Source organism: Homo sapiens, chromosome 7, assembly GCF_000001405.40.
Source record: "Homo sapiens chromosome 7, GRCh38.p14 Primary Assembly".
Taxonomy (NCBI): Eukaryota; Metazoa; Chordata; class Mammalia; order Primates; family Hominidae; genus Homo; species Homo sapiens.
The window spans coordinates 103,074,656-103,099,764 of NC_000007.14; the positions used below are offsets into that span (position 1 = coordinate 103,074,656).

At 40.3% G+C, this 25,109-nt stretch overlaps 2 protein-coding genes and 1 pseudogene across 32 annotated transcripts in view, besides 2 other annotated features; 1 reads left to right on the forward strand and 2 right to left on the reverse strand.

The window, feature by feature from the left end:
* The window catches only part of FBXL13 (F-box and leucine rich repeat protein 13), a 263,608-nt gene extending 263,467 nt beyond the window's left edge, over positions 1 to 141 (reverse strand). For 12 of the 13 annotated variants that reach the window (NR_105043.2, XR_927410.4, XM_005250207.5 and 9 more), the window contains exon 1: positions 41 to 141. Coding sequence is in view for 9 of the 13 variants with exons in the window: in XM_005250207.5 (XP_005250264.1) it covers positions 41 to 115 (75 nt within the window). In the remaining 4 variants the exon portion in view is untranslated. The remainder of the gene's footprint in view (positions 1 to 40) is intronic. The other variant, XM_017011850.3, reaches the window with a different exon arrangement.
* Positions 72 to 911: a silencer, noted in NCBI's record as "silent region_18509". NCBI's record gives its function as "represses an Ori minimal core promoter by ATAC-STARR-seq in GM12878 lymphoblastoid cells {active_cell/tissue: GM12878}" and the evidence as "EXISTENCE:reporter gene assay evidence [ECO:0000049][PMID:35858748]".
* ARMC10 (armadillo repeat containing 10) lies at positions 485 to 25,104 on the forward strand. 19 transcript variants are annotated; one of them, XM_017012684.3, is made up of 8 exons: positions 485 to 756; positions 1,122 to 1,226; positions 7,227 to 7,253; positions 9,027 to 9,175; positions 11,975 to 12,109; positions 17,822 to 17,998; positions 22,622 to 22,693; positions 23,644 to 25,104. In XM_017012684.3, the coding sequence occupies exons 1-8, from the start codon at positions 618 to 620 to the stop codon at positions 23,896 to 23,898; spliced, it is 1,059 nt and encodes a 352-aa protein (XP_016868173.1). In that variant the 5' UTR covers positions 485 to 617; the 3' UTR covers positions 23,899 to 25,104. The 19 variants fall into 19 exon arrangements, with proteins under 19 accessions (XP_016868173.1, XP_047276868.1, XP_047276869.1 ...); XM_047420912.1 differs by lacking the exon at positions 7,227 to 7,253 and having other exon boundaries at positions 1,122 to 1,340; XM_047420913.1 differs by lacking the exon at positions 7,227 to 7,253 and having other exon boundaries at positions 1,122 to 1,319.
* Positions 1,182 to 1,231: an enhancer, noted in NCBI's record as "active region_26438". NCBI's record gives its function as "activates an Ori minimal core promoter by ATAC-STARR-seq in GM12878 lymphoblastoid cells {active_cell/tissue: GM12878}" and the evidence as "EXISTENCE:reporter gene assay evidence [ECO:0000049][PMID:35858748]".
* CRYZP1 (crystallin zeta pseudogene 1) lies at positions 13,046 to 15,120 on the reverse strand (annotated as a pseudogene).

The window sequence follows — 25,109 nt, forward strand, 5'->3', positions numbered from 1 at the left end:
CCACCGACGGTCTGTGTCCGCTGCCACGCGTGTCCAGTACCTCGCAGACCTGAGGAATGTAGTTCTCCTTGAAGTAGTTCTTCAGCCTCGGGTTGGCATTGCGTAGCGAGGCCATGGCCCAAGGCCTGACGGAGAAGCTGCGATAGTACCCTCCCCGCGCTGGGACTAGGGGCCGGGCGCGTGCGGGCGTTGTCCCGGCAACCAGGGGGCGGGGCTGGGCGTGGCACCGCCCCGCGCTCCGCTGCCAGGGGCGGGAGGGAGGAATGGTTGCTTCACGCCCCGGGGGAAGAGACGGGAAGCTCGGCTCTGGGTTGCGGGCCCCGGCGTCTCCGCGTGGGGCGCACCGTCCGACCCCCCCCTCCCGGTGTGCAGCGCCCCGCACCGCCCCGCCTCGCCTGGGAGAAGCCGCCGGGACGCGCCGGGCTGGAGTGGGCGGTTATAGGCTTTGAGCTAGGCCGTTTCCGGGAGGCGGAGCTCAGACCCCATTTCCTTTCTCCACATCCAGGTCAGGTGGCGTTTGCTGTGGCGGCTAGGCCCGCGTGCGCTGGAGACCTCCGCGCTGGCCCCCGCGAGCCTCCTGCCCTGGCCCGGCGCTGCGGCTCTGCCGCGGCGGCAGCATGGGTGGCCCCCGGGGCGCGGGCTGGGTGGCGGCGGGCCTGCTGCTCGGCGCGGGCGCCTGCTACTGCATTTACAGGCTGACCCGGGGTCGGCGGCGGGGCGACCGCGAGCTCGGGATACGCTCTTCGAAGTCCGCAGGTGGGACCCCGGGGTTTCCGGCAGGTGGGCGGGGACTGGGCAGGGGGGCTCCCCAGGCCGGGGTGGTGGCTTGCGTGTGCTCGGGGTAAAATGAGGAGCCGAGCTAGAGGGAGAGGCAGTACTTGTGTGAGTGCAGGGTGCTGCGCCGCCCCCGCCGCCCCTTTGCTGACTATACTGGTATGAAAACTTGCCCTGGCTTTCCTGCCTGAGCTCCGCGTCACAGCGGAGGATTAGATTTCTTAAAAACCTGTTGATGGCCTCTCATTTTAAAGCTTGCTCCGGGCCTTTGTGTAACTAAAGGGATTCTCCCGATTGTGGAAGGGCTGTTGAGGGGCCCAGAGCCATAGGTCAATCTCTGCTTGCAGGTGCCCTGGAAGAAGGGACGTCAGAGGGTCAGTTGTGCGGGCGCTCGGCCCGGCCTCAGACGGGAGGTACCTGGGAGTCACAGTGGTCCAAGACCTCGCAGCCTGGTGTGTGTTTTGGAAATGGGAACAGTTGTCTGCGCGAGACACACCCTCCCAGCGGACAAATGCATGATTCGGTTTCTGTCCAAAAGTTGATCGGTACATTAAAACCCTCCAAAGGCATGTTTCACATCATGGAAGCTGTTAGGGAAATAATTTAAAATATCATATCTGCCATCCAAGAAACTCCTGTCCACAATTGTAGAAGAGAGCTAAACAGCTTCATTGTTGAATAAGCACAAACTAAATTGCCTCACACATCACGGGCAATTTGCTAATGGGATAGCAGGAAGAATTCTAATTCCTTTAAATGTAGCTGGACAGATAGAACCGATTTCATATTACATACGTGTTCTCAAGATAAAAAATAATTTGTCCTTAGGTAAGAGGACTTGACAGTACCATTTGCTACATGTAGTTTATCCTGAATTTACTGGTAATTGGGGTGGTTGTTATCTAATTGCCTTTATCCAGAGGAAAAATAAAAATATCTTTATGATGTGGAACCAGGTGCCCAGGCTAAAAACTCACAGAGTTGGGGAGATTGGGGATCTATCTTCCTGGAAGAGTAGGTTTCAAAGAGTACGCTTTCGAACAGTAGGCTCCAAAGCTTTTAAGAAAGTCTTTCTTGGGCTGTAAAACTGGCCAAATGCTTATTTCACTTTTAAAAAGATTTACAGGCTGGGTGTGGTGGCTCACACCTGTAATCCCAGCACTCTGGGAGGCCAAGGCAGGCGGATCATGTGGTCAGGAGTTCAAGACCAGCTTGACCAACATGGGGAAGCCCCATCTCTACTAAAAATACAAAAATTAGCCGGGCTTGGCGGTGGGTGCCTGTAATCCCAGCTACTCAGGAGGCTGAGGCAGGAGAATCACTTGAACCCAGGAGGCAGAGGTTGCAGTGTGCCAAGATTGCACCATTGCACTCCAGCTTGTGCGACAGAGCAAGATTCTGTCTCAAAAAACAAAAAACAAACAAAAAGATTTACATTTGTATCAAAGAAGCAGAAAAAGGAGTTTTGTTTTGTTTTCAGACAGGGACTCCCTCTGTCACCCAGGCTCGGTGCAGTGGCGCAATCACAGCTGCAGCGGCGCAATCACAGCTGCAGCCTCCACTTCCCTGGGCTCCTCCCACCTCACCCCACTAAGTAACTAGGACTACAGGTGCACACCGACACCTGGCTAATTTTTCCAATTTTTTAGGAGATGAGTTTTCACCATGTTGCCCAGGCTGATTTGAACTTGGCTTAAGCAGTGCTCCTGCCTCAGCATCCCGAAGTGCTGGAATTACAGGATTGAGCCTCCTCACCTGGCCAATAAAGGATTTTTAATTACAAGTTTGCACGAGGGAATGCTTTAAGAAAAAGGGAGTGGAAGGGGAAGGTCTCTCTCACTTTTGCCACTAGGTATAATTCAGCTTTTTTTTTTTAAAGATTTGTATGTACCCTTACTGTATTAGTCCATTTTCTGTTGCTTATAATAGAATATCTGAAACTGGGTAATTTATTAGGAAAGAAATTTATTTCTTAGAGTTATGGAAGCTGAGAAGTCCAAGATTGAGGGGCCGTAGCTGGTAAGGGCTTTCTTGTTGTGGCATAGGGCATCCCAAGGCCAGAGGGGCAAGTGTGTTAACATGCTGACTCAGGTCTCTTGTTCTTATAAAGCCACCAGTCCTGCTCATTAATCCATGAATGGATTAATTCATTCATGAGGACAGACCCCTCATGATCCAGTCACCTCTTAAAGGCCTTACCTCTCAATACTGCCACATTGGGAATTAAGTTTCGACATGAGTTTCGCAGGAGACATTCAAATCATAGCATTTACAAAGCCTAATTTGTTGTCTTTGCCCATGTCAGAGATATTTTTGTATAAGTACATTGGGAAGGTGTCCTGGACTCAGATATCTTCTCAGTTATACTGACTCAATCTGATGAATGTGGACAGTCTTTTAAACTTAACAGTTCCCATAATCATCATTATCTTAGGTAAGGCAGCTTAAAAAATAATTTGCTCACAGTCCCTTCTTCCTGAAGCTACTCCTTTATCATTGAAGAAGACTTGAGAAATGCTCATTTCATCATCAATATGGTTTGGCTTTGTGTCCCCACCCAAATCTCATCTTTTTCTTTTTTTTTGAGACGGAGTCGCACTCTGTCTCCCAGGCTGGAGTGCAGTGGCATGATCTCAGCTCACTGCAACCGCCACCTCATGGGTTCAAGCGATTCTCTTGCCTCGGCCTCCGGAGTAGCTGAGATGACAGGTACACACCATGTGCCTGGCGAATTTTTTTTGTATTTTTAGTAGAGACAGGGTTTCACCATGTTGGCCAGGTGATGTGCCTGCCTTAGCCTCCCAAAGTGCTGGAATTACAGGCATCAGCCACTGTGCCCGGCCCAAATGTTATCTTGAATTGTAATCCCATAATCCCTACATCGTGGGAGGGACCCGGTGGAAGGTAATTGAATCACGGGGGCAGTTCCCCTCCCCTCCATGCTCTTCTCGTGATAGTTCTCAGGAGATCTGATGGTTTTATTAGGGGCTTCCCCCTTTGCTCTGCACTCCTTCTCTTTCCTGCTGCCTATGAAGAAGGAAGTGTTTGCTTCCCCTTCCACCATGATTGTAAGTTTCCTGAGGCCTCCCCAGCCATGTGGAACTGTGAATCAATTAAACCTCTTTCCTTTATAAATTACCCAGTCTCGGGCAGTTCTTCATAGCAGCATGAGAATGGACTAATAAAGTCATCATCACGCTTAGATTTCAGAAGATGATCTTTTGTTTTTTGTTTGTTTTGTTTTTGTTTTTTTTTGAGACGGAGTCTTGCTCTGTTGCCCAGGCTGGAGTGCAGTGGCGATCTTTTCTTTGTTTTAAACTCACACCTCTAATCCCTTTGGGAGGCTGAGGTGGAAGAATCGCTTGAGCCCAGAGTTCAAAACCAGGCTGGGCAACATAGTGAAACCCCATCTCTACAAAAAATAGAAAAATTAGCCAGGCATGGTAGTGTGCACTTGTAGTCCCAGCTACTCAGGAGGCTGTTTTGGGAGAAACCCTTGAGCCCAGGAGGTCAAGGCTGCAGTAAGCTGTGATTGTGCCGCTGCTCTCCAGCCTGGACAAAAGAGCAAGACTCTGTCTTAAAAAATAAAAAATAAAATAATTTTTGTACTAACGTGGTTTGAGAGCATTGAAAAAGACGGAAACAGTCCCAATTCATCCAACAATCTAACGTCATAACCTGACAAGGATGGTAAGAAAAACTATAAATCTGTCTCAACTATGAATAAAGATATAAAAATCTTAAAATATTAGCAAGTCAAATCTATCAGGGGATTAAAGTAATAATATACCAAGGCCAAATGGACATGGAAGGAGGAGTCATACTAGAAAAAGGAAAAGCCACATGATGACCTCATAATAAAAAGGCATTAAAATATTTCTTTCCATAGCTGAAGCTCGGGGAAAAAAAAAGAAAAAAAATTTTATCATTTCTGATAAAAACTTGCAGCAAGTAAGGAATAAATAGAAGGAAATGTTCTTAAGTTGATCAAGTACATCCATCAAAACCCAAAAGCAAATATCGTATTTAATAGACACACTAGTTAGTAGCATCCTTATCAAACTCAAGAACAAGAGAAGGGTGTCTGCTATCACAGCTACTATTCAACGTTCTTCTGGAGTCATAGCTTGATAAGAAAACAACATGCATAAATATTGGAGGCAGAATTATAATCGTAGGTGGCATAATGATTTACTTGGAAAAATCCAAGAGAATTAACTAACTACTAGAAGCAATGAGTTTAATAAAATATCTTGAGTACAAGTAAATATACCCAAATCAATAACTTCTTGTATACATGCAGTAACAATTCAAAATTTTAATTGAAAATATTTTATTTGACAGAATGAGACCCTGTTTCAAAAAATATATATCATTCATGATAGCTATAAAAACTTTAAAAATTAGGAATTCACTTTAAAAACTAGGAGTTCCTGTAGTGAGAAGATAATTTTACTGAAGGGCCTAAGACTACATAAACAGGCATATTGTGTTCCCAGTTGGAAAGATTCTGAACCATGACAGTTATCTTGAAATTTGTCTTGCTACGTTATAATGTGGTAGTCACTTTTCATTCCCTTTGAGAATTCTAATTTCTCCTTGATTTACTGGAGGAGACCACAAACCACCGAGCCTAAGATTCTTTCACAGTCTTGTTGGCACAGAGCTAGATGGAAAGTAGAACACATGTTTGACTCCTCACCTGTGTAATAGCAGTCCAAAAACTCACCAGTGGAAGAGCTGAGTATTTGATGATCGCCCTCCTGTAAAATTTTTAGAGTTTTAAGTTTTACATTTCTTTACTAAAAAGTTATACATGGTTTTTGTTTTGTTTTGTTGTTTTGAGATGGAGTGTTGCTCTGTCGCCCAGGCTGGAGTGCTGTGGTGCGATCTCAGCTCACTGCAACCTCTGCCTCCCAGGTTCAAGTGATGCTTCTACCTCGGCCACCCGAGTAGCTGGGACTACAGGCATGTGCCACCACTGCTGGCTAATTTTTGTACTTTTAGTAGAGACGGGGTTTCACCATCTTGGCCAGGCTGGTCTCGAACTCCTGACCTCAGCTTATCTGCCTGCCTTGGCCTCCCAAAGTGGTGGGATTACAGGTGTGAGCCACCGTGCTGGGCCGATAAATGGTTTTTATTAGAAATTCAAAGAGAATATATAGAATTAAAGTATAGGCTCATTATTTTATTTTTTATTTATTCATTTATTTTTTGAGATGGAGTCTTGCTCTGTTGCCCAGGCTGGAGTGCAGTGGTGGGATCTCGGCTCACTGCAACCTCTGCCGCCCAGGTTCAAGCAATTCTTCTACCTCAGCCTCCGGAGTAGCTGAGATTACAGGCATGTGCCACCATGCCTGGCTAATTTTTGTATTTTTAGTAGAGACAGGGTTTCAGCATCTTGGCCAAGCTGGTCTTGCACTCCTAACCTCGTGATCCGCCCATCTCAGCCTCCCAGAGTGCTGGGATTACAGGTGTGAGCCACCGCATTCAGCTAGGCTCATTATATTAATATACTAGGAGGAATAATGGTTGAGAGGAAAGAGTAATGTAGGAGTAAAAAGATCTGGATTCTAAAGCCACTTTTGCTATTATTAATCAGCTATGTGTCCCATTAATGAAAATAATATACTAGTCACTTTAAATATTCTAGGTACAAAAGTGCTTTGAGGTAGGCACTATTAACTCCCACTTAGCAGATGAGTAAACTGAGGCTGAGAGAGCCTAAGTCTCTTACCTGGTAAGTAGCTTATTTGGGAATTTGAACTAGACAACCTGACCCCATAGCCTTGGCTTAGTTTTAACTACCACATTGTGCCTCTTCCCACCAAGTGAGAATTCTGTGATACAACACCGTGAAATTTTATCGTTAGTGATTTAATCCCTAGAAAAATTTTAAATGGCTATTTATAAAGAATTTATACATCTATAAGCTTTCTCTTTTTTAAAAACAAAAACAAAAACAAGGTTTCATTACTGTCACGCAAGCTGGAGTGCAGTGATGCAATCTCAGCTTACTGCAACCTCTGCCTCCCAGGCTCAAGCAATTTTCCCGCCTCGGCCTCCCGAGTACCTGGGATTACAAGGCATCCTGCACCACGCCTGGCTAATTTTTTTCTGTTTTTAGTAGAGATGGGGTTTCACCATGTTGGCCAGGCTGGTCTCAGACTCCTCAGTTCAAGTGATCTGCCCGCCTCAGCCTCCCAAAGTGCTGGGTTCACAGGCGTGAGCCACTGCACCCAGTCTATAAGCTTTTTAAAAATGACTTCATGAGATAACATAGAGTGGTATGATTTTGAAATATCTCAAATATGGATGAGTTAAATTTATCACATTTCTGCCATGCATGTGCACGTGTATGTATGCATGTGTATATGAAATCATACAACTTCAGGGCTGTGTAGGAAACTCTGGAGCCAGTTACAGTATTAAGCCAACCCTTTTATTTGCAGATGAGAAAACTGAGACCCCCAAAAATAGTAAGTGACTTACTTGTAACTTTGATTTTTCATTTCTGTGGTTTCTGCTACTAACTACCCCTGTGACTTTAGGCAGATCCTTGAACAATCCTGGCTTCAGTTTCTTCCTGTGTAAAATAAGAGGTTTGGATGAACCCCAAATTCTTTCCGTTCTAAAAAGTTGTGTTTTTATCATTCTTTCCTTTATCTTTTCAAGTATTCTTTGGGTGAAACGCTATTTTATAAGGTGTTAATGAGGCCAACAGTGTATTCAAAAGTAAAAGGTCCTGATTAAGACTTGGTAGTGAGAATATTCTAGCTTTGTAGCTGTGACATTTTCTTAACATTTCTTATTTGGCTTCCTCAGGGCATCACATATTATATATCACGTACCACATATTGTTTCCCATGTGTAATCTATACTTGTCCCTTTATTTATTTTTGTGTGTGTGTGTGTGATTCTTCTTTGAGCAATATACTTAGTTATTTTAGTTACAGAAATAATACCTGTTTATTGCAAAAAAAAAAAAAAGTACTGTTGAGTACAGGGTAGAAAATAAAAGTCCTTCATAATCCCACTACCCAAAAATAATCACCTTTAACAATTTTATTTACTTATTTTTTTTTTAATAGAGACAGGGTCTCATTATGTTGTGCAGACTGGTCTCGAACCACTGGCCTGAAGTGATTCTCCTGCCTCCCAAAGTGCTGGGACTACAGAGATGAGCTGCTATGCCCAGCCTAACAATTTTATGTGTTTTAAGAAAAAACACAGATTTGAGATCATGTAACACCTATTGTTGTGTAACCTCCTCCTCACCTACCCTTGCCCCTCCCCCCACCACCCCAGTAAGAGTGTTATAAAATGGCTTCTGTTCTTCCTGTGGTGATTTCTGTAAAGAGGATTTTTTTTAAGGTAAAGCCATAAGTTTAAACATCATTGAGCAGATCCAGCATTTGGCTATCCTAGCTCTTCTTCAAAATGTCAGGTTTTCTTTTGTCATCACCACCAGCAGGACTATTATTCTAGGATCCTAGTCATCATGCCTTGTATAAATCAAACAAAAATGCCACACTAGCAACAAGATTGGTTTACTCTCATAGCTTTCCTTCTATCTGATGTGCTCAGAAAAGATCTGCTTAATGCAAATCATATTTCCTAATTAATCTCTTTATAGGTAAGTGTTCATTGGATGGGTGTACCTCGTTTTTAAAAGGAGAAGCAAAATGTTATCAGCATTTGAGGTATATAGTATTTGCATGAAGTGTCTTACTAACAGCCATATGCCAGGTGACCATTGACTAATTTCTTGGTATCTATAAGCCTACACTTCCCAGCTGTAATTTGAGAGTACTACAAGTATCTTCTTCCTAAGGATGTAAAGTGCTTAATACTGTGCCTGCCATACAAGTATGTATTCGATATTGTTTTAAAAATTTTAAAAAAACAGGCTGGGCACAGTGGCTCATACTATTATCCCACCACTTTGGGAGGCCAAGGCAGGAGGACTGCTTGAGGTTAGAAGTTTGAGACCAGCCTGGGCAACATAGTGAGACCCCCATCTGTACAAAAAATGTTTAAAATTAGCCGGGTGTGGTGCATGTGCTAGGACCACAGGTCCTACCTACTTGGGAGGCTGAGGCAGGAAGATCACTTGAGCCCAGGAGATCAAGGTTGTAGTGAGCCATGATTGTGCCACCGCACACCAGCCTGGGTGACAGAGTGAGAGCCTGTTTCAAAAATAACCTCGTATTGATTTTAGCTTAACTTCAAATAACTTTCTTCTTATGCAGAAGACTTAACTGATGGTTCATATGATGATGTTCTAAATGCTGAACAACTTCAGAAACTCCTTTACCTGCTGGAGTCAACGGAGGATCCTGTAATTATTGAAAGAGCTTTGATTACTTTGGGTAACAATGCAGCCTTTTCAGTTAACCAAGTAAGTACCTCAACTCAGCAAGCAAGCTCTTTCCATTCTTACACACTAGCGGTAATTGTGACCCTGAATAAATTACTTAACCTCTCAGACCCTCAATTTCCTCATCTGTGCAATGTGGCTACTTATACTTAAAACATAATGTTTGTTTACTTCTGAAAAACACAGCCTAATAGTGATATGATTATTAATGTGATTATAGATCCCTATGAAGTTGGTCACTGGCATCACATTCGTAAGTATATCTAATCAACGTTTACCATTTCATGGCCTTTTAAATTATTTAAAATTCAGCAGTGCTTCAGTAAAACAATGAATGCATCTAACATTTAAGTACATACTTTAAATTGTATATCGGTCTTATGAATATGATTCTGATGCTGATGGTCCCTGGACCACACTCTGATAACCACTAATCAATGTAAATGGCTCCTGCAAATGGAGACTTAACACTAAGACTAAAGAGCTTAATTTGAACATGTGCTTCTTCCTACTCTTCCTCACAACCCTCCAGCATGAAAAAATAGTTAAAACAAAATTTCGTAATTGTTTTCAGCCAATGCCCTTTGTTAACATTGTCATAAGTACAAAATTATTTTGAATTTATAGTTTTTTTTAGCCCAGCTTTCTCCAGAATGGCAAGGTTTACTGTAAAGCTCTATAAACGTATAGGGAGATAGAGAATCTTTGTGCATTATGTACTCTTTCAGTTATAAATGACAGAATTCACTTTAAATTATTTTAAGCCTAAAAGGGAAAATATTGAGCTCAGCTAACTTGGACAGCGAAGAATAGCATTGATTTCAGGCACAACTGAGTCCAGTTCAAGGTTGCAGAGTTCCCAGAGTTCTCTCTTTCTCTACCTTTTGGCTTTGCTTATGGCCGCTCAATTTTATGTATTGGTCTTTATCTTTCTGGCCACAAAGTGGTTTTCTTCACCAGGGTTGAAAGAAAGCCACTAGCCTCTCTAAGCCTTCATCTCTGTAGCTCATTATCCAAAAGGTACAGTTGTTCTTCTAGGATCCAGTGTTAACCCTTTGGATCAATCTCCGGGGCAATTTCTGGATCAGTCGAGGGACCATGGCCCATGTTTATTGAGGCCTGGTTCACATGAGCATCCTGCAGCTAAGTAGCAGGGATGGCTGTGAATACAAGTGAACAACAATCCCAGCAGGGACCGTGTGGGACAGAGGAGATGCCACATCTGCCCCCGTGGAAAGAGAGCCACTAGACAAGCAAAAACAATAGCTAGTGATTAATGTGTTAGCCTGCCTTTAAAGAAGTATTTCTGATGGCATAATTTTGTATTCCTCTAAAATAAGTTGTAGTCAGAGTAGGCCAGTACCCACTGGAGAAGAAGTACTTTCTTGAGCAGCGGGGGTCAGTGCCCTCACCATCAATTATAGTACCTTAATCTGCTTTAACAATACAGTTAAAAAAAAAAAAAACTTTTCTAGTAACTGCAAGTCCTTCGAAAGAACTTGAAATTGTAAAGGGAAAGTTTATTTCTCTTTTAATGCTAAGATCACCCTTAACGGTAAAATGGAGTATTGAGCTATTTCTAAGAAGTAGATTTTGGCAGTCTTTTTCTTTTTTCCTGCTAGAATAGCATGTCTTCACTTGACAAGAATAATTTTTAGCATATTTTTCTTACGAGAATTAAAGCGATTTAATTCTTTCAATGTTTGAGCCAAAAGCACATGGTAACATAGTATTGCAACCAACTGTAAGACATCCCAGATTATTTTCCCTCTGAATATTTGGGTACCATTTCTCTTCTTTTTTTTTTTTTTTTTTTTCTTTTTTTTGTGGCAGAGTCTCACTCTGTTGCACGGGCTGGAGTGCAGTGGTGCAGTCTCAACTCACTGTAACCTCCTCCCAGGTTCAAGCGATTCTCCTGCCTTAACCTCCCCAGTAGCTGGGATTACAGGCACTGGCCACCACGCCTGGCTAATTTTTGTATTTTTAGTAGAGATGGGGTTTCACCATGTTGGCCAGGCTGGTCTCTACCTCCTCACCTCAAGTGTTCCACTCATCTCGGCCTCCCAAAGTGCTGGGATTACAGGTGTGAGCCACTGCGCCTGGCCCTGGGTACCATTTTTCAAACTGTGTGGAACCTGATTCTGCAAGATATCAGTGCGTTCCCACCACTTCCACTGCTGAAAAAATGACCCTTTTTTTGTGTTTAGTTCATAGACATACTATCGTCAACACACCCCTCTTCAAGATTCCCAATGCACATGGACATATTAAAGAAACATGCTTACTCTTGTTATACTCAGATTTTCCTAAACTTAGATAACCATGGGAAACCACCCCCCCTTATTTTTATGGAACATCTCTTAACATTTTGAGGGATTAGTGTTTCAAATAATACGTGTTAGCAAAACACTACTTTAGTATTCTAAATCCAAAACACTAACTTTAGTATTCTAAATTATAACACTTTTCCAGTTTTGCCTATAATGGAGAAGTCATATAACTCATCTCAAAGAAAAATAATTTTATTTGTAAGTTGCTTCAAGATCGTTATAGTATCTCTATAAATTTTTATTGTATTTCTCAACATTGTAGTTTAAATAATTATATATCTTAATAATCTTATTTTCAATGGATTTTCTTTACCTATAAAAGTATGGGTAGTGAGATTTTTTTAAAATATGAATTAAATATTTGTATATGGGAAAGAGATTTCCAAAAAGCCGTTGATTTTTAATTGTATTTGTGGATGCAAAGAATTCAGTGAACGGAGATGCATACTGAAGTCCCAGTCCTGCTTTTTTTTTTTTTTTCCCCTCGTAGGCTATTATTCGTGAATTGGGTGGTATTCCAATTGTTGCAAACAAAATCAACCATTCCAACCAGAGTATTAAAGAGAAAGCTTTAAATGCACTAAATAACCTGAGTGTGAATGTTGAAAATCAAATCAAGATAAAGGTAAGTTGACTGAAAATCACAAATGTATAAGGTTTTCTATAAATAAAAAATAACAAAAAGATGAGTAATGAAACTTTAGTAGACTATCCTTTGTAATTTTACAGCCAAGGATTACCTTTAGAGGAATGGAGAATAAGACAGAAGAGGGAGGGACCTGAACTAGCCAATAAGAGGTACAATAAGACTTTTGTTTCAGTAAAATAATGCTTGTTTATTCTACAGGTTATCCTCTACATCAGGGACAGGCACTGGTGACAGTAATAGCCTTAAGGCTATAGGCACCAACCAAATAGTGAATATAGTTGGCTGAAAGTTGGGACAAGACTTTGCGCTAGAACTAGAACTAGTATTACAAGAGATTCATTCAGGGAGCATATCCGATGCTACATATTCATAAATATGGTTGTTAATGCATACAGTTTGGCTAGTTTTGCCTTTGAAATTAAGTGTACTGTATGAGTGTATTGCAAAGTGTTAAGTCACTGTATGCTTTAGCTCTTTCAATGGATGAGGCAAATGTGCAAATAGATTAAACTGACTTTTACAGAATAACTGTTCCTTTATCTTGTTGTATGGGGAGAAATCCTCCATTTTAGGATGCACATAAAATGCTAACCTACGTTACTGACATTGCTTTAATGCTTTTTCAAAAATGTTATTTATGAGGCAGTTAACCTGTAAAAAAAATAGTTAACTTGGTAAATGCCAACAGTTAAAACACTTCAGCCATGGCATATATAGCCAGAACCCAGTGATACCCCTTGGTTATAGAAAAGAGCAGTGTTTTATGTTTATTATTGAAACAGGACTCCCATGTTCAAACTAGAAATTGTCATTCAACAGAACAAATCAGGTCAAGACAATCACGAAACAAGAGACAGGAGGATGTGCTCCTATGAAGAAAAAAACAACAAATAACCAAACTTTATTTCCTTGAATATAATGTTGATGGCAAGATTTGTAAGAGGTAATCTCTGTATTTAGTTTAGATAAAGACTTCCAGCCCAAAACACTGTTAAGCAGTAACTGTGAGGAGCTATGCAGAAGTGATGAGAGGCAAGTACTATATAGACTAGAAAATTTAATTTTCTACAGAATTACAGATTACTATGCTATGAAGCAAAAGCAGACCATTCTTAATGTATCAAATTGGTGAGCTTATTAATTTCAATAAAAATATATGACCCCCATCACACAAACAGGTAACTCTAAATCTACTTTGAAAATCTGATCAGTCAAGAAGTATTACCAGTTTGGAGGCTATGTACCAAGTGTCATACCAAAGATAAGGCTGCTGTCCTCACAGAATATATGGGGTCATTGACAATCAATTAGAATATCCAATGAAGTGGATATTCTAATATTTGGAGAAATATTGGAAAACTAGCAAAGTGCCCTGGAAATTATGTGTTCTTGCCCTTCCACAAGACGTATAGATCCAGATGAGATTAGTTTGGAATAGGGGTCTTTTTTTAGTCCAGAAAATCTTTAGAGTCCAATACAGTTATGGCTAATCAGAGACTAAAGAACCTTTATGAAAGTAAGTAGGATTGGAAGTCCTTGGAAATTGAGAACGCTTATTTTGAATTAGCATGTTTTAATCAAAGGTATAGAATTAATCAAGTATCAGTTAAGAATTTCTGGAATGCACTCCAATGCCAGAAGACCACTAGCATGCTATTTTGTACTATGAAGATTTCCTGATTTGAAATAGAAGGTAAAAAAAAATATTGCCAGCCATAAAATAAATTTTACTCTACTTGCTTAGTTCTCCAAAGAAAAATCTTACTTTTTTCCCATAAGAAACTCACTGGATCAAATGAATGTTAATTAAACAAAAGATTGTGTAAGTAAAACTGGGCAAAAGACAACCTCTGAAATCCATGAAAGAATTAATCATCAAAAGAGAAGAATCATTTTTACAGTAGCCCCATTGCCGTGAGAGATATTTTCATGAGCCTGGGCCACCTCTCCAACATATAGTGAGAACTTATTACAGGTTTCAGCCAACCAATTTCCATTCCAGCTTGACAGGCTGCTGCAAATTGCTGAGATTCCTCCTTGGTTGAGGAAAATAGAGTAACGACAATTTTACTAGACTCTTTTGCCATAGTGTCCCATGGGTTTATTTCAATGGTACCACTGTTGCCAACACCTATTACTTATCTTCCATATGACAAACAATTCGCATATTTACTAAGATTTATATTAGCTATTATTTCAATAATCACATCAATTCCTTTCTTATCACACATTTCTTAATTTTATCAACATAGTTAACTTCTTTGTAATTAAACACTTTGTGGGCTCCATTTTGCAAAAGTCTTTTTGTCCCTCAGTACCAACTGTGCCCAAAACCTTTAAGACATAAACTCTAGCAATTTGGCATGTTGCTACTGCAGCTCCTCCACTAGCCCCATGAACCAGAACACTCTCCAGCTTTCATACAGACACTGTGAATCAGAGCTCGATATGCAGTAAGATATGGGATACCAATGGCAGCATTTTGTTTAAAGTCCAGTTTTTCAGGCAGTTTGTAAACAGCGTAATCTGCTCCCAGAGATTGTGCCGGTAGTGAAAACTGTCACTTTTCTTGAAAGTAGATGCATTCCCTCCAACAGCTTCCGTTACCCCAGTTACATCTGAGCATAGAATAAGGTGGTTTTCTATTATAAATACCAGAGTAAATGTATGTCTCCATGGGGTTGACACCACACGCATGAACCTTGATTACAACTAATGGTCTTTTGGAACTGGTACTGCAACATCTGACTGAGTTTCAGGACTTCTGGTCTACCAAATTCAAACACTCTAACAGCTCTCACCAGCTTTTGTTCAGTTGCCATGGTCATCTAGATAAAAGCTCTAGAGTGGGAATCAAAATCTGCAAGGGCTCCTTCATATTCCACTGAAGGAGGCTGGCCAGGCTGCTTCTAACTTTTGCAGCCAACAAGACTTTTGGAGTTGGGGTTCAGTTTAATCTAAGGGTGCTAAAGGAACCAGGCCAGGGTCAGATAATGTCAGCAGAAAAATGCAATATTAGGAAATTATGTTATTTCAATTCAATATTTATCAAACCTCCTGCTTTGTGGTGCAGAGTATACAAATGAGCATGATGCAACTCTTGTTCTAAGAAAGGTGGAAGGAAGGATAAGGCAAGTCCTTAAATAATTGTAAGTCAAGGCAGAACATAATGAAGTCCTTTAAAGAAAAATGTAAGTAAAACATGATTGAGTACATAGAAAGGAGAGATTTCATCCAAAAGTTTCTGTAAGAGGTGGAGTCTGACCTGGCTCTTGAGAATGTTACCCTACAGGTAGAGTTGGGGAAGGAGAGAATTCCAAGAGAACAGAACAAGATGAGGTGGACACAGCTGCAGGAATAACTAAGCTGGTCCATTTGGTAATCTTGTTATTATAATTGAAATGGTAAAAAGATTCAGATATAATAAGGATGTAAACAGTCCACACATTTTAGGAAATGCCTTGAAAGACATCAGCATCTTACAGAAGTATATGATTTATAAAGAGCTAAATAAATGCCATGTTTTTAAAGGATGGATGTATAATTAAATTGTAACCAAAGAGAACCAGTTGACTTTCAAATGTAAATTAGGGCCAGGCGTGGTGGCTCACACCTGTAATCCCAACACTTGGGAGCCACGACAGGAGATTGCTGGAGGCCAAGAGTTCAAGACCAGTCTGGGCAACATAGTGAGACCCCATTTCTTTATTTTTGTTTGTTTTTGTTTTGAGACGGAGTCTCACTCTTGTTGCCCATGCTGGAGTGCAGTGGTGCAACCTCAGCTCACTGCAACCCCTGCCTCCTGTTCAAGCAATTCTCCTGCCTCAGCATCCTGAGTAGCTGGGATTACAGGTGCCCACCACCACGCTTGCAATTTTTTGTATTTTTAATAGATATGGGGTCTCACCGTGTTGACCAGTTTGGGTGAGAACCCATTTCTAAAAAAAAAAAAAAAATTTATTAGCTGGGCATAGTGGCATGCATCTGTAATCCCAGCTACTCAGGAGTCTGAGACAGGGGGAATTTGAGGCTGCAGTGAGCTGTTATCACACCACTGCACTCCAGCCTAGGTGACAGAGTGAGACCCTGTCTCTAAAAATAAATGTAATTTAGATCTTGAAACCAGATTAAAAGTTTAATCTCTCATTGCTTTACTGCCATTTAGTTTCTATGGTAACATGGATACATTTGGGATTTTTTTTAAATTAATAATTGTTTATGGGACAATTGGTAACTTACCACTTCAAATTAGGAAAATTTTCTTAGCAGTTAGAACTTTTGGTGGAGTTCAGATTTGCTTAAGTGATTAGTAGTTATCTGTAAAACATAATTTTTGTAAGCTAGAAAGCTTATGGCCAGGCCGGACATGGTGGTGCACACCTGTAATCTCAGCACTTTGGGAGGCTGAGGCAGGCAGATCACTTGAGCTCAAGAGTTTGAGACCAGCCTGGGCAACATGGTGAAACCCTGTCTCTACAAAGAATACAAAAATTAGCTGGGCATGGTGGCATTGCAGCCTGTGCGGCAGTGAGACCTTGTCCCCCCGGAAAAAAAGAAAGCTCATGGCCAGACACAGAAAGTAGAGTTTCAGAAAAGTTTCCATCACACTGAGTTTAGTTGTGTCATGTATGATACAAGAGTACTACAGCATTGCATTACTTTTTACCAGTGATAGTTAACAATATTATGAAGGGGTGAATTATATATATATATATATATATATACACACCTAGGTAAATAAGAACCTTAGGCCAAGTATAATTTTGTTCTGCTTACTTTTGATAGGATTAATTCTAGGGAAAGATTCTGTTTCACATTATCCTCCCATTCTTTACTTCTGAAATGATGTAGCTCTCTAGACCCTACTGCTAAGGTACTTATTACTATGATACAAAATGGCCTCACATCTTCTTCCCTGATCCCAGTGTGCGCAGACCGCAGACCAGTTGAAACCGAAAGGTGGACTAAGATGGGAGGCCTCCAACCAGGGAGAAGCCACTGGTGTTAACAGCATGATCTCTGGGCTTGGCTATTGCATCCCCACCTGCTGTCTGACATTGGGCAGGGGACCCGAGCTCTTTAAAGACTTAAAAGTCCTTGTCTGCAAGATAGCCGTAATAGTACAACACCCAACTCATTAGAGTTGTCTTCAGGATTAAGTGAGGAGTATTTGTAAAATGCTAAGCACTGTGCCTGGAATTACCAAAGGAAGCTTTTAAAAAGTCAACAACTTTTGAGGGCCAGATAGAAATTTCATATTTTGGCCGGGCACAGTGGCTCACGCCTGTAATCCCAGAATTTTGGGAGGCCGAGGCGGGCGGATCGCGAGGTCAGGAGATCGAGACCATCGTGGCTAACATGGTGAAACCCCGTCTCTACTAAAAATACAAAAAAATTAGCCGGGCGTGGTGGCGGGCGCCTGTAGTCCCAGCTACTCTGGAGGCTGAGGCAGGAGAATGGCGTGAACCCAGGAGGCGGAGCTTGCAGTAAGCTGAGATTGCGCCACTGAACTCCAGCCTGGGAGACAGCGAGACTCCGTCTCAAAAAAAAAAAAAAAAAAAAAGTCGTATTTTTTGAGGAGTCGGTTCCATCCTGAGCAGTAGCCCTACTCCACTGTGCAGAAAAGTGGCTGTTCAGTAGAAAAATTTTGGAGATTCTAAGATGCTCATTTTCCTCCCCTGCCTTCAGATATACATCAGTCAAGTATGTGAGGATGTCTTCTCTGGTCCTCTGAACTCTGCTGTGCAGCTGGCTGGACTGACATTGTTGACAAACATGACTGTTACCAATGACCACCAGCACATGCTTCACAGTTACATTACAGACCTGTTCCAGGTGTTACTTACTGGAAATGGAAACACGAAGGTATGAAGAGCTATTGTGTCAAGCTTATTAACATTGAAATAGTATTTGCAGGCCACCTATCTTAAGTTGATGTGCCTCAAAGAGGAAGATTTATTAAAAACTCACATGGGCCCAAGAAAGTATATTATTTTTAGTCCCAAATATTCCATTGCAAAATTAACTTTTGAAAACCATCTGTTGTTTCACTTATCAACAGATTCCTGTTCATTTGGTTTTCTGAGAAGCTAGCTTCCCCCCACCAAATATAGGAACATTGTGATTAAAAGGAGTCTGAGTAATAGTAGTGGTTAGTTGAATATTTTGCTTACCTCAGGGTTAACAAATCATTTTTTTGATTCAGTTATTTGTTGAAAAATATTTCTAAAACAACTTTTAAGCTGTAGTAAATGAAGTGAATTGAATATATGAAAGATGTCTCAGTGCTTCACTCTGTCCAGTTAGGTTGATATAAGAGGCAACAGATATTGAGCTGAATTAAGTAGGACCTTAGGAGATGCCCTATAAAAAGTTTCTTAAGTAAATCTCTCATATTAGTGTGCATTCTTATCAATTGCCATTTTTCAAGAAAAAGTAGCATAAAAATAGATTGTAGGCTAATTAAAAGTTCTGATAAGTCGGGTTGATTGTTCATCAAGGCTTTTTACCATGTTAGTCTGTGTTCTCTGGAACAGTTGAGAGACAAATGCATAAGCATTTTAGAAAGACCAAATGTGAAGCCATACTCCAAATATTCAACATCACTGCAGTTATTTTTGAGTTTATCAAGATGTGATTACAGGAGAGTCTTACTGTAGTCCTGCTTTTATGTTTCCAAGGTGTTTGTACATGGACTTTCCTCTTTTCCAATAGCCAAACTTGTTTGGATGTGATCCAAGATGTACCAAAAGGTATTGAAAATTAAATGTAAGAGTAGTCTTCTAGCAATATTGCACCATTCCCAGGCAGTTTCCAACGTGCATCAGCATGTCTGTCTCCAGTGGAACAAGATAACTTCCAGCCCCTGAACCCCTGGGGAAACTCCTTCCCTCTTTACTGTATGTTGTTGCCACTGTAGGAGAAATCTCTCCTCTGCCTGACTCTGCAGCTGCTTTACCCAGAACCTCAGGAGGAACTCTGAGTCCAGAGCCAGGCTGAGTTCAGCCAGGCAAGTCTGGCCTTGGGGCTGTATATATCTGTCTCAGACATCGTCTGTGTTTTCATATATTTTTTGACTTTTTAAAAGATGACCCAGACCACAATAGTATGTTCTATTTTTGTTTTGTTGTGTTGTGTTTTTCCATTACATTGCTTAGTACAGTATTTCTAGGATAGAAAATTTGCTTTCTTGGTCTGCCTTGGAACATACCTACCAATTACAACATTGATTTTCCATAAAAATTGAGTTTAAAGTTCCAACTTGCAAATGAACTTTTGGATAGCCATCCATTTGTTAGTGGGAAAGTGTGTCTGATTTAGGTATTTTCTTAGTAAATAACCACTAAAATGAATGTTTAAATATCGTATTTTGCTTAAGTCAGGGATCTCACTGTACTGTAATAACCGTTTGGGTACACCACTGATTGATAACTTAATGCAGATAGTGGAGGATTAACATAAACTGTGTGCTTGTTACATCCTCAATGAAAACAAAACTAATGGTTTAAAATGTCCTAGTGTCACCACAAGATGGTGCATGTGACGAGGAAAAAAAACATGTCTTAATATGGTTTCAAACCAAAATCCATATATTTGTTTAATCTGTAGTTGTACTCTAACTGTATATATATTTTTTTCTCATATTTAACTCCCTTCTACAAAGAATAGCAACATCAGATTTTAATACAGGATACCAAATAGCTATTGCTGTTGCTATTCCCTGGTTGTATACCTGCCCTCATTGACTATTAGTGGGTCTTAGATTTTGACTTCATCCAGGCTTATTTCGTAAGTTCAGGACCATCCTATTTCATACCTCCTGTTCCTATTTTTCTAATTGAAACTTCATTGACATTGGAGCCAGGTGTTTTTTTCCTAACACTTATTCCTAGTGTTGCTGATAGTCAGTCAGGCCAGATGAGATCTGATAGTGACCTCCACGGAGTGCACTAAAGAAGGGTCAGAAGTCTCCTTTACTCTTTCAACCCCAGAGGCCTTAATTTATTAATAGCATCTCTTTGAAAAAGACAATCTCTGCATATTCAAGAAATGTTACCAGTGGACACTGCTGAGGATTGGAAGGGGCCAAAAGCATGGTGGCTTTTGTTTTTACCTTGTTCTCTTTTGCATTACTTAAAATTTTTATCATGACCAAGTAGTAATTTTCTAAAAATAAAGAAATATTTGATAAAAACAGTAAAATTAAGCAAAGTATTATGTCATCCTCAAATAAATTAGTATCTACAACATGATCAAAGAAATTGTGACTATACAGGATATTTGCATAAAAGACCAAAAAGAAAATACTAAAACTTTTCTTTCTCTTTTTTGACACAGAATCTCACTCTGTTGCCCAGGCTAGATTGCAGTGGCATGATCTCTGCTCACTGCAGCCTTGAGCTTCCAGGCTCAAACAATCCTCCTACCTCAGCCTCCCTGGGACTTTGGTCACATGCCACCACGCCTGGCTGATTTTTGTATTTTTGGTAGAGACGGGGTTTTGCCATGTTGCCCATGTTGCTCTTGAACTCCTGAGCTCAAGTGATCTGCCCACCTTGGCCTCCCAAAGTGCTGGGAATGCAGGCATGCGCCACCGCACCTGGCCAAAAATACCAACACTTAATCGTGATCATTTCTGGTTATGTAAATACGGGTAAATTTTCTTTTTCTTTGTGGTTTTCTATTTTTTTGAAAGTGCTATGGTAAACATCTGTTGCCTTTGTAATAAAAAATTTTTCTAAAATAATATCCAGGTTCCTTCCCAGCTCTAGTGAAGAGCACATTTGTCCCATTTCCCTGAGTTAGTACCCCCCTCTATGCTTATTTTAGTTCCAGGTATCTTGTAGAAAGTATGGTTTCACATGGCCTTTGTTTTTAAAAGACTTGGAACCAACCCGAATGTCCAACAATGATAGACTGGATTAAGAAAATGTGGCACATATACACCATGGAATACTATGCAGCCATAAAAAATGATGAGTTCATGTCCTTTGTAGGGACATGGACAAAATTGGAAATCATCATTCTCAGTAAACTATCGCAAGAACAAAAAACCAAACACTGTATATTCTCACTCATAGGTGGGAATTGAACAATGAGAACACATGGACACAGGAAGGGGAACATCACACTCTGGGGACTGTTGTGGGGTGGGGGGAGGGGGGAGGGATAGCATTGGGAGATATACCTAATGCTAGATGACGAGTTAGTGGGTGCAGTGCACCAGCATGGCACAAGTATACATATGTAACTAACCTGCACATTGTGCACATGTACCCTAAAACTTAAGAATAATAATTAATAAATTAAAAAGAGGCATTCTATTTGAGTCTTGTTATTACTGACTTTTCAGTTATAAGTGATAAGAATGCTGATATTTTAGCTAGTCACCCATTAGATAACATTTATTTGCTTATTATTTATATCATTGCTGGGCATGGTGGCTCATTGCCTGTAATCCTAGTTACTTTGGGAGGCCAAAGTGAGAGGATTGCTTGAGGCCAGGAGTTCAAGACCAGCTTCAGCAATATAGTGAGACCCCCATCTCAATCAATCAACCGATCTATCAGTTTTTATCACTGTGCTTATTTATATGATTGTAAAACACTTTCACATTAAAAGATAACCTCAAAAATTCATGGTAGCTTACCAAAAGGGGCCATATTGTTATTTATTTAGTCTTGGTAACCAAACAGTTCCAAAATTTTTACTGTTTAAGTAGAAATGAGCTGAGCTTTGAGAGATTTTTTTGTTGTTGTTTTAAAGATTATATTTCTTTATTTCTTTTTTGTCGGGGGTGAAGATGGGGTCTAAGGGTCTCACTATATTGCCCAGGCTGGAGTGCAGTGGCTGTTCACAGGCACAATCATAGCTTACTACATCCTTGAACTTGAACATCCTTGAGATGGGAAGGCTCAAGAGATCCTCCCCCGCTCAGCTTCCCAAGTACCTAGGACTACAGGCCGACACCATCATGCCTGGCCATACTTCACTTACCAGTAATCATAATGAAGATCGTGTATTTAACAGATGTTAAGCTTACCAACTGTTCAGATGTGCATGTGAATTGGGGGTAGATTGTGAAGACATTTGCAATATTCTATCTCCCTGACATTATAATTGGGAAAAATTAGGTTTAAATAACCGTGTGATAGAAAACCTGTATCTCTGTGATAAGTTCTCTAAGAGTGGTACAAGACATTTGCAATATTCTCTCTATCTCCCTAACGATGTAATTGGAAAAATGAGGTTTAAATAACACTGTTCTATGATAGGTTCTCTAAGAGTGCTGCCAAGTGTTATAAGAGTTCAGAATGAGACCTTTAAAGTAGAATGAACGGAGAAGGTTTCCTGGAGTAGAGAGAATTTGAGCCAGGCCTGGAAGCTTAGGCAGGACTTTAACAGGAAGACATGGTGAGAGAACAGCATGCCTGAGAGAGAAAATTCATGCTTGCCAGTCTGAGATAAGCCAGTATCATCTTCTTTCAGGTGCAAGTTTTGAAACTGCTTTTGAATTTGTCTGAAAATCCAGCCATGACAGAAGGACTTCTCCGTGCCCAAGTAAATAGCTTATATATTTATTTTGTAAATATACACATATATACATTTGAACAGACAGACAGATCTGGAAAGATTAAGCCTAAAATGTTAACAGGGATTCTCTCTGAGGAGCAGTATTAAAGGTGGTTTTTTAAATTCATTTTGTATGTGTAAATTTCCTAAATTTTTTGCAATGAGCCTCTTTTACTTTTGAAAAACATTTTTAAAAATTCACCCTAGCAACAATAAATTATAACTTTTTTCTCTACCCAATTTTGGGTACAATTGTGCCATCCCATATTTTATACTTGAACTGTTTGTGTTTACATGTATCTTAGTATCCACTGAAACAGCAGTACTGAGTCCCCAGCATATGCTAGATGAGACACACCAGTGAGCACAGCGTGACATGGTACATGTCCTCACGAAGCTTACAGTCTAGTGGAGAGACAAAAATATATAACAAGTGAACAAGGTAATTAAAAGCTGTGATAAGTGTTCTGAATGCTGGGATAGAATGGAGCTCCACTCCTGTAGAAGAGGAACCATCGTATTCATCTGCTCATCCCTATTCCCCACCCAGCTCTGTGCCCTGTGGTGTATGGGCACTAAATGTTTGATGAAAAAATGAGTTCCCATGAAAACCGTATGATGATCTTAAAAAAGAAAATGGTTGTTTTTCCCAAATAACCACATTCTAAAATTCCAAGGAAATTGTATTTTTCCAGCTGAAACACTCCCTTTTTTCCATTAGTATTACAGCGTGGGGGTACATAAGGTTTTATACATCTAAGTTATGAAATTTTGGGTTTTCTGTGACAAAATTTTTTTAATGTGAGATACATTTTAAATGTGAATTTAAAAATTTTAAAATGTGAGTTATTCAATGTAGTTTTAAAATGTTAAAATATACATGAAAAAGTTTTCATATATTATTAATATAAAATAATACTCATTGTTTCATATTTCAGGTGGATTCATCATTCCTTTCCCTTTATGACAGCCACGTAGCAAAGGAGATTCTTCTTCGAGTACTTACGCTATTTCAGAATATAAAGAACTGCCTCAAAATAGAAGGCCATTTAGCTGTGCAGCCTACTTTCACTGAAGGTTCATTGTTTTTCCTGTTACATGGAGAAGAATGTGCCCAGAAAATAAGAGCTTTAGTTGATCACCATGATGCAGAGGTGAAGGAAAAGGTTGTAACAATAATACCCAAAATCTGATTGGTCATATTTTTCCAAAGAGTAATGCAGTCTGGATATAAACGTATTTTCTGTCTTCCTTATAAGGGGATTCTCCCAGCTGCTAAATTTAAACAGTAAATATCACATTTTGTCATTAACACAGCTATAACTTGCCGTGGTTCTCAGATTTATTTTGGACTATTTTGATGCCAAGTGAATATAAGAGCTTGTACTGAAACCATTTATTTCTTTCTATTTTGCTATTTGCAAATGCTTGTTATCTTCCCTACATGAAGTGGCAGTAACCTTTTTCACATTTAAGCTACCCTTCTACCTTTTGAAGTGATTTGCAGTTACTCATCTGAGACAGCATCAGTATTTGACTAAATCATTGTTTCACAACTGAATAGTCTTGTTCTTTTAGTAGCAACGAAATCCTAAGCTCTTGAGGCCATTCACCTGCCAACCTGACCATACTGCTTTCAAAAGTCTTTTCTCATCAGTAGAATCTATTTTGGTCACTTCTAGTCAATGAAAAATGTAAACTTTTAGGAGAGAATGTTTCTTAGGACTCACCCACTCCATTCAATGTTATATATAAAATAGTGTGATCAATCACAATGTCCATCTTTAGACAGTTGGTTAAATAAATTATCTGGTCTTTGAAAAGACCGTGCTGGGCGCGGTGGCTCTTGCCTGTAATCCCAGCACTTTGGGAGGCTGAGGCGGGCAGATCACCTGAGATCGGGAGTTTGAGACCAAGCCTGACCAATATGGAGAAACCCTGTCTCTACTAAGAACACAAAATTAGCTGGGCATGGTGGTGCATGCCTGTAATCCCAGCTACTTGGGAGGCCGAGGCAGGAGAATTGCTTGAACCCGGGAGGCAGAGGTTGCAGTGAGCTGAGATAGCGCCATTGCACTCCAGCCTGGGCAACAAGAGCAAAACTCTGTCTCAAAAAAAAAAAAAAATGATGGAGCTCCGAATGTGCTTAAGTGGAAAGATATCTATGAAATATGGTGGTTTTTTAAAACACAAAAATTATAGAATATGGGATCCCGTGTGTGTGTGTGTGTGTTTGAATGAAAAATGCTTATGTATTGACAGAACACTTCTAGAATGATACCCAAACTCCTGGAGTGGGAGTGGGGAATGCCTTCTACGTACACACTGTTCTACTGTTTGAATTTTTTAATATGAGCCCAAATTGTATAATCTTTTTTTAATAAAGGGGAGAAAAATCACTTAC